The sequence below is a fragment of the Homo sapiens genome, chromosome 1, assembly GCF_000001405.40.
Source record: "Homo sapiens chromosome 1, GRCh38.p14 Primary Assembly".
In the NCBI taxonomy this organism is placed as follows: Eukaryota; Metazoa; Chordata; class Mammalia; order Primates; family Hominidae; genus Homo; species Homo sapiens.
Window position 1 is genome coordinate 32,552,037 of NC_000001.11, and position 13,806 is coordinate 32,565,842.

Consider the following 13,806-nt stretch of genomic DNA (forward strand, 5'->3'; position numbering starts at 1 on the left):
GTTGTCTTAAGTTTATTTTCTTGTCAAAGTTAAAAAGTATGTTTGGTCCAGGGACAGTGGCTCATGCCTATAATTTCAGCACTTTTGGAGGCCGAAGTGGGGGGATCGCTTGAGCCCGGGAGTTTGAGACCAGCCTGGGCAACATGACGAAACCTCATCTTTCTAAAAAATACAAAAATTAGCCAAGCTTGGTGGTGGGTACTTGTAGTCCCAACTACTTGGTAGACTGAAGAGGGAGAATCACTTAAGCCTGGGAGATCAAGGCTGCAGTGAGCCGTGATTGTGCCACTGCACTCTAGCCTGAGTGACAAAGTGAGACTGTCTCAAAAAATAAACCAAATGGCCAGGCGTGGTGGCTCACGCCTGTAATCTCAGCACTTTGGGAGGCCCAGGCAGGAAGATTGCCTGAGGTCGGTCAGGATTTCGAGACCAGTCTGGCCAACACGGAAAAACTCCGTCTCTACTAAAAATACAAAAATATTAGCCAGGCGTGATGGTGTGTGCCGGTAATCCCAGCTACTCGGGAGGCTGAGGCAGGGGAATTGCTCAAACCAGGGAGGCGGAGGTTGCAGTGAGCCGAGATCACGCCATTTCACTCCAGCCTGGGCGACAGAGTGAGACTCCATCTCAAAAACACCAAAACGAAACGAAAAAAAGGATTGCTTTTGATTTGCCATAATATATTTTAATATTGGAAATCTCTTATAAACTTTAATATTAAGATTGAGGTTAAAAAGTTATATATATAAAACATAAAAATATGTATATAAAATGTATATATGTCTTTAAAAAGAGTTCCAAGCCAATTTGAAGCCAAATGATCATTCTATTATTAATAATATTAATGATTTATTTATATTGTATATTATATTTTAAATCATATATTACATATTTGTTCTATATTATATATTAATATTAATTATTAATGATTTTCTATTAACTATTATTAACTATTACTAATAATAATTTGTGCCAGATCATCTATTTTTACATGTTAAAAATTGTATCTGACAGAGGCTCTTATATAATTTTTTTTTTTTTGAGACGAAGTCTTGCTCTGTCACCCAGGCTGGCATGCAGTGGCACAGTCTCAGCTCACTGCAGCCTCCGCCTCCCGAGTTCAAGCAATTCTCCCTCCTCAGCCTCCTGAGTAGCTGGGATTACAGGCACCTGCCACCATGCCCAGCTAATTTTTGTATACTTAATAGAGATGGGGTTTCACCATATTGGCCAGGCTGGTCTCAAACTCCTGACCTCAGGTTATCTGCCCGCGTTGGCCTCCCAGAGTGTTGGGATTACAGGTGTGAGCTACTGTGCCTGGCCCTTATATAGTTTATTTAAATAAATATTATGTACCTTAGCAGATCTTTCTGCCTCTTATGACAAAAGTACATTATAAATATCTGTTTTCTCTCTCTACAGGACAATCCTCCAAACACAGACTGTTTGACTTAGAATCTTCCCTTTTTTACTCCATTCAAGAGCAGCATTCATAAATTTCCAGGTATGACAAATTTTAATTCTTCATCTACCTCACTTAAATGCATAGATAAAAAGTAGAATTCTGGGGCCGGGCGCGGTGGCTCACGCCTATAATCCCAGCACTTTGGGAGGTCAAGGCAGACAGATCACCTGAGGTCGGGAGTTCGAGACCAACCTGACCAAGATGGAGAAACCCTGTCTCTACTGAAAATACAAAATTAGCCAGGCATGGTGGCACATGCCTGTAATCCCAGCTACTTGGGAGGCTGAGGCAGGAGAATTGCTTGAACCCGGGAGGTGGAGGTTGCGGTGAACCAAGATGGCACCATTGCACTCCAGCCTGGGCAACAAGAGCGAAACTCTGTCTCAAAAAAAAAAAAAAAAAAAGGTAGAATTTTGGGCCGGGTACGGTGGCTCACGCCTGTAATCCCAGCACTTTGGGAGGCCAAGGCAGGAGGATCACCTGAAGTCTGGAGTTTGAGACCAATCTGGCCAACATGGCAAAACCCCATCTCTATTAAAAATACAAAAATTAGCCGGGCGTGGTGCTGGGCGCCTATAATCCCAGGTGCTTGTGAGGCTGAGACAGGAGAATCACTTCAATCCGGGCAGCGGACGTTGCAGTGAGCCAAGATCACACCAGTGCACTCCAGCCTGGGCAACAGAGCAAGACTGTCTCCAAAAAAAAAAAAAAAAAAAAGGGTAAAATTTTGTAGTTGTAGATTTTATATATCAGAGAATGGATTTATTTCTTGGAAATTCACTGTCTAAGATGTTCAGCGTTCTGATTTTTTTGGTCTCCCTGTTCACTGATTGCTAATTTTTTTTAATGACATCTTTATTTTGAATACTCTCTTAAGGAGGTGTAGTGTATCCTTATGAATGTGGGCCGAATTTCTTTTTTTAACACCCAGCATACATATTTGAACTACATTTTAATCTTTTATTTATTTATTTATTTATTTATTTATTTATTTATTTATTTATTTATTTATTTTTGAGATGTAGTCTGGCTCTGTCGGCCAGACTGGAGTGCAGAGGCAACCTCCACCTCCCAGGTTCAAGCAGTTCTGCCTCAGCCTCCAGAGTAACTGGGATTACAGGCACCTGCCACCAAGCCTGGCTAATTTATGTATTTTTAGTAGAGACTGGGTTTCACCATGTTGGTCAGGCTGGTCTCGAACTCCTGACCTCAGGTGATCCACCCACCTTGGCCTCCCAAAGCGCTGGGATTACAGGCCTGAGCCACCGCACCCGGCTTTATCTTTTTTTTAAACTGGGATCCAGGCAATTGTATGGAACTACATTTTTTAATTCACTGCCTCTCTTGTGTATGTATTTCTCCCATTCTAACTTAATCACATACTCGTATTATTAAGAACTGGAGATTATCTAGATCAGTCCTTTTAATTTGCAGAGAAGGATGTTAAGCCTAGAAACATGAGTTACTTGCCCATGGACATAATGCTAATTTAGTGGTAGAACCAGTGTCAGAATTCTGACCTCCCACAGCTGCATCGTGCAGCCTTGGCGTCACTGTCTGGGTTAAAGCCCTTTTCTGTAAAATGGGGATAATAATACCATCTCCCAGCTAGGTGTAGTGGCTCACGCCTGTAATCCCAGCACTTTGGGAGGCCGAGGCGGGCAGATCACAAGGTCAGGAGATCGAGACCATCCTGGCTAACACGGTGAAAACCTGTCTCTACTAGAAATAGAAAAAATTAGCCGGGCGTGGTGGCAGGCGCCTGTAGTCCCAGCTACATGGGAGGCTGAGGCAGGAGAATGGCGTGAACCCGGGAGACGGAGCTTGCAGTGAGCTGAGACGGTGCCACTGCACTCCAGCCTGGGCGACAGAGCGACACTCTGTCTCAAAAATAATAATAATAATACCATCTCCCCAATAGGTTGCATATGAGGATTAAATGAGACAATGCAGGTAGCTGCTTTATTACTGCCTGTTGGCCCTTTAACCCCTGTACTGCATCTGTCTTGAAATTCTCCACCCTTGGCTAATGTGTCACAAAGCTCTCTTCATTCTCCCTGTAATTTCTTGTCTGTAACACTGGCATCTTTTCCCCATCCTGCCGCACAATCATGGGCAATCCTCCAGGTTCCCCTCTCAGCCCATGCTTCCTCTGAGCCCCTTCATTTCTGCTAACAGCCTAATTGCTATTTGCAGATTCTCTTACTCCTCTATCTTCAACTCTGAGTGTCCCTGTGAACTTCAGACCAGCATTTCTAGTGGCCTCCTGTCCATATCTACCTGATTTCCCATTCCTCTGAAATCCAACATACATAAAACCAAAGTTGTTGCTTTTCTTCTAAACCAGTTATTTCTCTGGACTCTGGACTTCCCAATTTCTTGTTTCAAATTTAAAAAAAAATTTAATTTTAATTTAATTTTTTTTTTTTGAGACACTTGTCTGTGTGCCCAGGCTGGAGTGCAGTGGAGCAATCACTGCTCACTGCAGCCTCAACCTCCTGGGCTCAAGTGACGCTCCCACCTCAGCCTCCCAAGTAGCTGGGACTACAGGCACATGCAATTTTTTATTTTTATTTATTTATTTTTTTCTGAGACAGAGTCTCACTCTGTCCCCCAGGCTGGAGTGCAGTAACGTGATCTCAGCTCACTGCAACCTCCACCTCCCGGGTTCAAGCGATTCTCCTGCCTCAGCCTCCTGAGTAGCTAGGATTACAGGCGTGCGCCACTGTGGCTAATTGTTATATTTTTAGTAGAGACAGGGTTTCACCATGTTGGCCAGGCTGGTCTCGAACTCCTGACCTCGTGATCCACTCACCTCAGCCTCCCAAAGTGCTAGGATGACAGGTGTGATCTACCATGCCCGGCCACAATTTTTTATTTTTTAGAGACAGGGTCTTGCTCTGTTGCCCAGGCTGACGTGCAGTGGTATTACCATAGCTCACTGCAGCCTCCAACTCCTGGGCCTAAGCAATCCACTGTCTGTGCCTCCCAAGTAGCTGGGACCACAGGCATGCACCATCATGCCCAGCCAATTTTTAAAAATCTATTCTGCCATCCTGGTCTCAAACTTAATTTAAGAAAAAGCAAGGTATAGGGCCGGGCACAGTGGCTCACGCCTGTAATCCCAGCACTTTGGGAGGCCGAGGCAAGGTAGATCATGAGGTCAAGATATCAAGACAGTTCCAGCCAACATAGTGAAACCCTGTCTGTACTAAAAATACAGAAATTAGCCGGGCGTGGTGGCGGGCACCTCTAGTCCCAGCTACTCGGGAGGCTGAGGCAGAAGAATCATTTGAACCTGGGAGGCGGAGGTTGCAGTGAGCCGAGATTGTGCCATTGCACTTCAGTCTGGGGACAGAGCAAGACTCTGTCTCAACAAAAAAAACAAAAAAGAAAAAGCAAGGTATAGACCAATATATATAATACAAGGGAACTTAACTTTCTTAATTTTCCGTGTCAGTAGAGTGTTTTCTTATTTTTGAATCATACGCATTCAAGGGTGAAAGGGAAGGGGAAAAGACCAGTTGCGGTGGCTCACACCTGTAATCCCATCACTTTGGGAGTCCAAGGCAGGTGGATCACTTGAGGTCAGGAGTTCGAGAACAGCCTGGCCAACATAGTGAAACCCCGTCTCTACTAAAAATACAAAAATTAACCGGGCGTGATGGTGTGCGCCTGTAGTCCCAGCTACTTGGGAAGCTGAGGCAGGAGAATCACTTGAACCTGGGAGGCAGAGGTTGCAGTGAGCCAAGGTCATGCCATTGCACTCCAGCCTGGGCAACAGAGCCAGACTCCCATCTCAAAAAGATGATGTGAGAACTATATAAATAATTTGTGTTTCTCTGGGATTTTGTTTTTGTTTGTTTTTGTTTTGCCTTGGATTCTAGGGCAAATAATGCTAAATGTAAATGTATAGAAACCATCTCATTAACATTTAATTTAAATAAACATTAAATAACATTTAATTTAAATAAAATGTTGCTTGGTCTGTCCCTGAGGCTAAAGGGCTAAAGGGCAGTGGCATAATCCGAACTCGCTGCAGCCTCCAACTCCTGGGCTCAAGTGATCCTCCCACCTCAGCCCCCAAGTAGCTGGGACTACAGGCCCATGCCACCATACCCAGCTAGTTTTTATATTTTTTTTTGTAGAGATGAGGTTTCACCATGTTGCCCAGGCTAGTCTCAAACTCCTGAGCTCAAACATCTACCTGCTTCAGCCTCCCAAAGTGCTGGGATTATAGGTGTAAGCCACCGCGCCTGGTCCATTTTACCAAACTCTTATCATCAGTTATTAAAATCTTTCAAATGCCACCCTCTGTTGATGATTTCTAAATCTTTATCTCCAGCCTAGATTTCCTGAGCGTATATCCAGACATCCATAATATACTGACTTCATGCTCAGTGAGCAACATTTTGATGACTGACTTTCCACATCACTTCCTCATAAGGAAAGGAGAATATGTTGGTCAGTGGAAAACAAATATCTGTCCCTTTGATGTTTACATATTTCATCATAATTTGTAAAATGGCCTTGTGTCTTTCTTGTATATATGGTATATCTGACATATCACATACACATATATAACATATATAGACCTATATATAAACTCTGTGAGCTTGATTAAAGACAGAGGATGGGGGAAAAGGAGGGAAGTAGGGAAGTAGGAAGGCATTTGCCTCTAAGAAACAGATCATCTTTTTGTGGAACAAAATTACGTTTCTGATCAGTTTCTGAAAATCAAACCTTAAACAAGAGGTAACAGTGTAAATGCTACCAATCATTTATCTTAGCATCTAGCCACCTGGCCATTTTCTCTTTTTTTCTTCCTGTCTCACCCCTCCCTCCTTCTTATCTACAGTAGTTAGCTACTTAGAGAAAAATTTAGATCTTCTCATCACACAGTACACCAAATACTTTCTAGAAGAGCTAAGTATTAAACACACACACACACACACACACACACACACACACACAAATGGAAGTAAATTATTCATCAAACATCTGGAGGTGGGAAGATATCCTGAGAGTAGACCACATTGAAAAGAAATCATGTAGGGAGCTTTCAACATGTGCCATTCATTTACTTATTCGTTTGTTAGTCTCCAAGTCTGAAGGATATAGATATGGAGGCAGAGAAAGGAAAGGTTTGGCCTGGGATGGTTCCTGGGTCCTGGATTAGGCACTGGAGGAAAATAGTGGTACTAATTCCCAAGAAAGGAGACACAGATGAAGGAGTACATTTCAGCGGTTAAGAAAAGGCTGCAATAAGAAGTTTGGAATTCAGTAAGTTTGAGGTTATCTTCTGTATCTAACTGGTGATTGATGACAATGATGATAAGAATTATAACAGCGGTTCATATATTATTGAGCAGCTACAATGTCCCAGGCGCCTGCAGAGTTCTTGACATTTACAATGTTGCGTTGAATCTACAATTCCTTGAAGTAGGTACTGTACTCTTATAAACCCCCATTTATAGGTTAGGAAATGGATGTGTAAACCACAGCAGAGCCGGGGTTTAGATTCACTTTGATGGCATAGCCCATGTGTTTACCCACTGTTATTTATGCTGCTTCCAAGTCCTGCTGATTTTACCTCTGGCTTATCTCTGTCTACTTCTTTCTTTTTTTGAGATGGTGTCTGGCTCTGCCACCCAGGCTGGAGTGCAATGGCGTGATCTCAGCTCACTGCAACCTCTGCTTCCCGGGTTCAAGCCTTTTTCGTGCCTCAGCCTCCCTAGTAGCTGGAATTACAGGCACCCGCCACCACACCTGGCTAATTTTTCTATTTTTAGTAGAGATGGGATTTCACCAAGTTGGCCAGGCTGGTCTCAAACTCCTGACCTCCAGTGAGCCACCTGCCTTGGCCTTGTCTGCTTATTTTCATCACCACTACTGTGGTTTAAATGTTGGTCCCCTTCAAAACTCATGTTGGAACTTAATCCTCAAGGTGACAGTATTTTTTTGTTTTGTTTTGTTTTTTGAGACAGAGTCTTACTGTGTCACCCAGGCTGGAGTGCAGTGGCATGATCACGGCTCGCTGCAGCCTCAACCTCCCCAAGCTCAGGTGATCCTCCTACCGCACCCTCCTGAGTACCTGGGACTACAGGTACATGCCACCATGCCTGGGTAATTTTTGTATTTTTTGTAGTAATGGGGTTTCGCCATGTTGCCCAGGCTGGTCTCCAACTCCAGGGCTCAAGCGATTTGCCTGCCTTGGCCTCTCAAAGTCCTGGGATTACAAGCATGAGCCACTATGCGTGGCACAATGTGGCAGTACTGAGAGGTGGGGCCATTAAGAGGTGATTGGGTTATGAAGGATTAATGGGTTATCATGGGAGGAACTAGTGGTTTTATAAGAAGAGGAAGGGAGATATGAGCACGCTCAGCCCCCTTGCCACCTGTACTAGTCCGTTCTTGCATTGCTATAAAGAAATACCTGAGACTGGGTAATTTATAAAGAATAGAGGTTTAATTGGCTCACAGTTCTGCAGGCTGTACAGGAAGCATAGTAGCTTCTGCTTCTGGGGAGGCCTCAGGAAGCTTCCAGTTACGGTGGAAGACATAGGAGGAGCAGGCATCTTCACATGGCTGGAGTGGGCGGAAGAGAGGTGCCACACATTTTCACACAACCAGATCTCATGAGAACTCACTCACTATACAGTATCAAGGGGGGATGGTGCTAAACCATCATGAGAACTCTGCCCCAATGGTCCAATCGCCTCACATTAGGCCCCACATCCAACACTGGGGATTACAATTCGACATGAGATTTGGCCAGGGACACAGATTCAAACTATATCACTACTGATCCTTCTGCACTGTCCCAGGACTCCACAAAGAGTCTCCACCAGCAAGAAAGCCCTCGCCAAGTGTGGACCCTTGACCTGGGATGTCTCAGCCTTCAGAACTGTAATACATAAATTTCATTTATTTGTCTTCTTTTCCTTTCTCTTCTTCCTGATTTTTTTCTGCTTTTTTTCCTTTTCTTTATAAATTACCCAGTTTCAGCGTTTTTTGTTGTTGTTGTTGTTATAAGTAACAGAAAACAGACTCATACCACCATACCACTACCTACAACTACTTCCGTTCTTTCTTTTTTCTTTTCTTTTCTTTCTTTTTTTTTTTTTTTTTTTTTTTTGAGATGTAGTCTCACTCTCACCCAGGCTGGAGAAGTTCAGTGGTGCAACTTCAGTTCATTGCAGCCTCTGCCTACCAAGTTCAAGCAATTCTCCCACCTCAGCCTCCTGAGTAGCTAAGATTACAGTAGGTACATGCCACTATGCCTGGCTAATTTTTCTATTTTTAGTAGAGACAGGGTTTCACCATGTTGTCCAGGCTGGTCTCAAACTCCTGACCTCAAGTGATCTGCCCACCTTGGCCTCCCAAAGTGCTGGGATTACAGGCATGAGCCACCATGCCCAGCCCAACCTCTTCCATTTCTACCCCTACCATTTTGTCTAGATTACAACTGCCTCCTGCCTGGTCTCACTGCCAATGATGTTCTTACTGCTCTCTGATTTGATCAAATACTAAATCGCCTCTCTCCTTTGCATAGAACCCCTTAATGTCCCCCACCCCCACCCCAATGCTTACAGGGTCTAATCCAAACTCTTTAATGAAGCAAATAAGGTGCTCCACCCATTTCTCACCATCTCTTTTGCACCCTGTGCTCCAGCCATATTGAACAACTTACTTCCTATTTTGTGATTATACCAGTCTGTGCCTTGGCTCAAACTATATCTTCTGCCTAGAATGCTTTTCCTCTTCTTTTTTTCTGAGTGAAAACCTACTTGCCTTTCAAGCATCTACCCTAGCATCACATCACCTACGAAGCAACGTACGTTGATTCTTCTCCCACAGTTCTGGAGGCTAAACTCTGAAATCAACGTGTTGACAGCGCCATGCTGCCTCTGAAGGTTGTAGGGCAGAGTCCTTCCTTGCCTCTTCCTAGCTTCTGGTGGGTGCCAGCAATCCTTGGCATTCCTTCTGTTGTAGCTCCATCATTCCAGCCTCTGCTTCTGTCTTCACGTGGTGCTCTTCCTTCTGTGTTTGTGGTTTTGTTTTTGTTTTTGTTTTTGTTTTTTTGAGACCAGCCTGTTGCCTAGGTTGGTCTTGAACTCCTGGCCTCAAGCAGTCTGCCCTTCCTTGGCCTCCCAAAGTGCTAGGATTACAGGTGTGAGCCACCTCACCCAGCCCCTGTATGTGTCTTCTCAGTGTCCTCCTTTCTCCAGATCTCTCCTTATAATGATACCACCCTAATCCAGGATGACCTCATCTTAACTTGATTATATCTGCAAAGACCCTATTTGCAAATTAAGGTCTCCAGTGTAGGTACCAGGTTTAAGACTTCAGCATATAATTTTGGGGGGCACAACTCAATCCCATGTCTCACATGCGGGAGCAGGAGCAAGAGAGAGAGTGGAAGGAGGTGGTACATACTTTTTTATTTTTTATTTATTTTTATTTGAGACACAGTCTCAGTTTGCCATCCAGGCTAGAGTGCAGTGATGTGATCATGGCTCACTGCAGCCTCGAACTCCTGGGCTCACACGAATCTCCTGCCTCAGCCTCCAAACTATAGGAGGCCACCACACCCAGCCAATTTTTTAATTTTTGTTTGTTTTTTTTTTTTTTTGTAGAAACGGGGTCTCACTATGTTGCTCAGGCTGGTCTTGAACTCCTGGGCTCAAACAATCCTTCTACCTCAGTCTCCTAAAGTGTTGGGAGTATAGGCATGAGCCACCCTGCCCAGCCCCTGAGCTATTTTTTAAAATTATTTTTTGAGATGGAGTTTTGCTCTTGTTGCCTTGCCCAGGCTGGGGTGCCATGGTGTGATCTCAGCTCACCACAACCTCCGCCTCCTGGGTTCAAGCAATTCTCCTGCCTCAGCCTCCCGAGTAGCTGGGATTACAAGGATGCGCCACCACGCCTGGCTAATTTTGTATTTTTAGTAGAGATGGGGTTTCTCCATGTTGGTCAGGCTGGTCTCAAACTCCTGACCTCAGGTGATCCGCCTGCCTCGGCCTCCTAAAGTGCTGGGATTATAGGCCTGAGCCACCGCGTCCGGCTTTTTTTTTTTTTTTTTTTTTTGATGAGACGAGTCTTCGCTCTGTCACCCAGGCTGGAGTGCAGTGGCGTGATCTCAGCTCACTGCAATCTCCACCTCGCTGATTCAAGCGATTCTCCTGCCTTGCCTCAGCCTCCCATGTAGCTGAGATTATAGGTGCCCACCACCACACCCAGCTAATTTTTTTGTATTTTAGTAGAGACGGGGTTTCACCATGTTAGCCAGGCTGGTTTCAGACTCCTGACCTCAAGTGATCCACCCACCTCAGCTTCCCAAAGTGCTAGGATTACAGGCATGAGCCACCACTCCCAGCCTTGAGCTATTTTTAAGTACTGAAATGTTTTTATGTATAAACTGTTATTTTGGTATTATAAAATGTAAATCATTTATATTATAAGACATGTCCACAGAGTTATATACTGCATTTGGGATTTAGGTTTCATTTCAAACAAGGGTACATTTTTAAAGTAGGTATACTGAGTACCTCATTCTTTATTTCACATCCTTACAAGGTACTTTATTGTTTTAACTCTTATTTTCTGTTTCTTATAAGATTAGTTATCTTTTTCAGGGATTATTAGTTGTTTGCATTTCCCCCAGAGGCAAATCATCTACTGCCAGAGGCTCCTGATAGAATCACGTGAGAATGAGGTTGGGGGTGGGAAGACATTAAGAGAAGCAAGACCAGGCACGATGGCTCACCCTGTAATCCCAGCAGTTTGGGAGGCCAAGGCGGGAGGATCCCGTGGGCCCAGGAGTTTGAGGTTGCAGTGAGCTATGATCACACCAAGGAAAGGGAGTTAATGAGGAAAAGTTGTAAGACCTGATTCCCCACCCTACAGGATTTCTCTCCTTTTCCCCCCTAGGGCTGACACCTTCTTTTTCTTTTTCTTTCTTTTTTTTCTTTTTTTTGAAACAAGGTCTCACTTTGTCACCCAGGCTGGAGTGCAATGATGTGATCTCAGCTCAGTGCAGCCTCCGCCTCCTGGATTCAAGCAATTCTCTTGCCTTAACCTCCCAAGTAGCTGGTATTACAGGCGCCCGCCACCACACCCAGCTAATTTTTGTGTGTGTGTGTCTTTTTAGTAGAGATGGAGTTTCATCATCTTGGCCAGGCTGGTCTCGAACTCCTGACCTCGGGTGATCTGCCCACCTCAGCCTCCCAAAGTTCTGGGATCACAGGCATAAGCCACCACGCCCAGCCACCTTCTTCCTAAGGATAATTTATTTTAGACAGGCTCTTCTTCCCCAGTCACCTTACTCTCAAGCCAGAGGGGTTGAGGAAGCCCCATCATAGAACCTAGTCATCTCTTAGGTGGAATGGCCTCTGAGACAAAACATTAAAGAGGATGGGGAGTACATCTTGCTTCTTAATAATGTTATTGATACCAGAGCTGTATTTTGACATTATGCAAAATTGATACTGAGATGCCAGCAAGGTCATTTTATCTCAGTTTTGCAACAGCTAATTTGAAACCATGGGCACGGTGAGCAGACTGCATGCTGTCACTGGTCCTGAGGACATTGCAGTATTTGAATGGTGAGAAGTGACAGCACTCAGAAAGGGACACACCAGATTTCTATGGCTTCTTTACCCTAGGGTCTCAAAGGACATTACTGCTTTATTTCTCATTCCTTAGAAAATAGTGCACCAGAATAACTCATCCCTAAGAACTCAAGATGATTGGTATTTTACCATTTTTACTCCATCCCAGTGCCAAGCTTCAGTGTTTCTCTAGTGTAATTGATACATCAGAATTTTTACGTTATAAGCTGTGATAAAACCGTAATACTTTTGGGCCACTTTAAGTCTGGAGCTTTTATGATTTCACATTGAAAAAAAGTCTGGAGCTTTATTAGGTAAGTGGAAATGTAACACAGATGTCTGGGTAATGGAAGCCAATAGCCTGTTTTTAACAGAATTATTCTTTAAAAGCAGAATGAAATTCCCTCTCTAGAATTTAGGGGTATAAATTCTCTATCCTCAGCCTTTGACCTATAACCTCTTCAGGAAAAAGGATTCATCTCTCTGTCTCTAATCTTTCACCAAAATACCAAATAATTAAGCACACATGTTCAATAGCAAAATATACCTAAAACAATTAATACACAAAGTAGAACCAATAGTTTCTCTCATTTTTAGAGTATCTAAAAAAAAAAACCCAACAACTTATGCTGGCATTTTATAGTATAACTTGATTTATTTCAGGATCTCATTGTAACAAACAGGAACACATGTAGTATATCATTTAACTGCAGCAAAATTGTTTAAAAGTGTTGAAGTTGGAACAATCCTCAGAGATCATACAGTCCCACCTCCTACCAAATGCAGTCACCCAAAATCAATGACATTCCACCTCTGCTACAATGGTAGCATAGGAAGTGTTACTTTGCAAAGTGACTAATTCTGTTGTTCATCAGTTTGGCCCAGTGTTTCTCAAATTTTTCTTACCAAAACCCACAGTAAGAAATACATTTTGGCTGGGTGCAGTGGCTCATGCCTGTAATCCCAACACTTTGGGAAGCCAAGGTGAGTTGATTGCTTGAGCTCAGGAGTTTGAGACTGCCTCGGTAAGGTGGCAAAACCCCATCTTTACAAAAAAACACAAACATTAACCAGGCATGGTGGCATGTGCCTGGAGTCCCAGCCAGGAGACTGAGGTTGAAAGATTGCTTGAGCCCAGGACACTGAGGCTGCAGTGAGCCGTGATCATGCCATTGCACTCCAGGCTGGGCGACAGGGCAAGACCCTGTCCCCTCCCCCCAAAAAAAGAAAAGAAAAAAAGAAATCCGTTTTAAGGCTGGGCACAGTGGGTCATGCCTGCCCATAATCCCTGCACTTTGGGAGGCCCAGGCTGGAGGATTGCTTGAGGCTGGGAGTTAAAGATCAACCTGAGCAACATAGCAAGACCGTGTCTCTACAAAATAATTAAAAAATTAGCTGGGCGTGGTGGCATGCCCTGTAACCCCAGCTACTCAGGAGGCTGAGGTGAGAGGACCTCTTGAGCCCAGGAGTCTGAGGCTGCAGTAAGCTGTGATCACCTACTGCAGTCCAACCTGGGTGACAGATTGAGACCGTCTTTAAAAAATTTTTTTTAATTAAAAATAAATAAATAGCTGTTCTTTATGAGCTCAAATTCATTTCCCTTTAGTCCTATATTTTGGTCCATTTCCTTTTTAGTGAATATTTATTCATTCAACAAATACTGACTGAGCATCTGTATGCTGGACATTATGCACTGTGCTAGGGATGCTGAGGTGGAAAAAACAGAGA

At 43.9% G+C, this 13,806-nt stretch overlaps 1 protein-coding gene across 3 annotated transcripts in view; it reads left to right on the plus strand.

Moving 5' to 3' along the window:
- ZBTB8A (zinc finger and BTB domain containing 8A) overlaps nucleotides 1-13,806 on the plus strand; it is a 66,515-nt gene that overhangs the window by 12,610 nt on the left and 40,099 nt on the right. For all 3 annotated transcript variants that reach the window (NR_111980.2, NM_001040441.3, NM_001291496.2), the window contains exon 2: nucleotides 1,423-1,504. The gene's annotated coding sequence lies outside the window, so the exon portion shown is untranslated. The remainder of the gene's footprint in view (nucleotides 1-1,422; nucleotides 1,505-13,806) is intronic.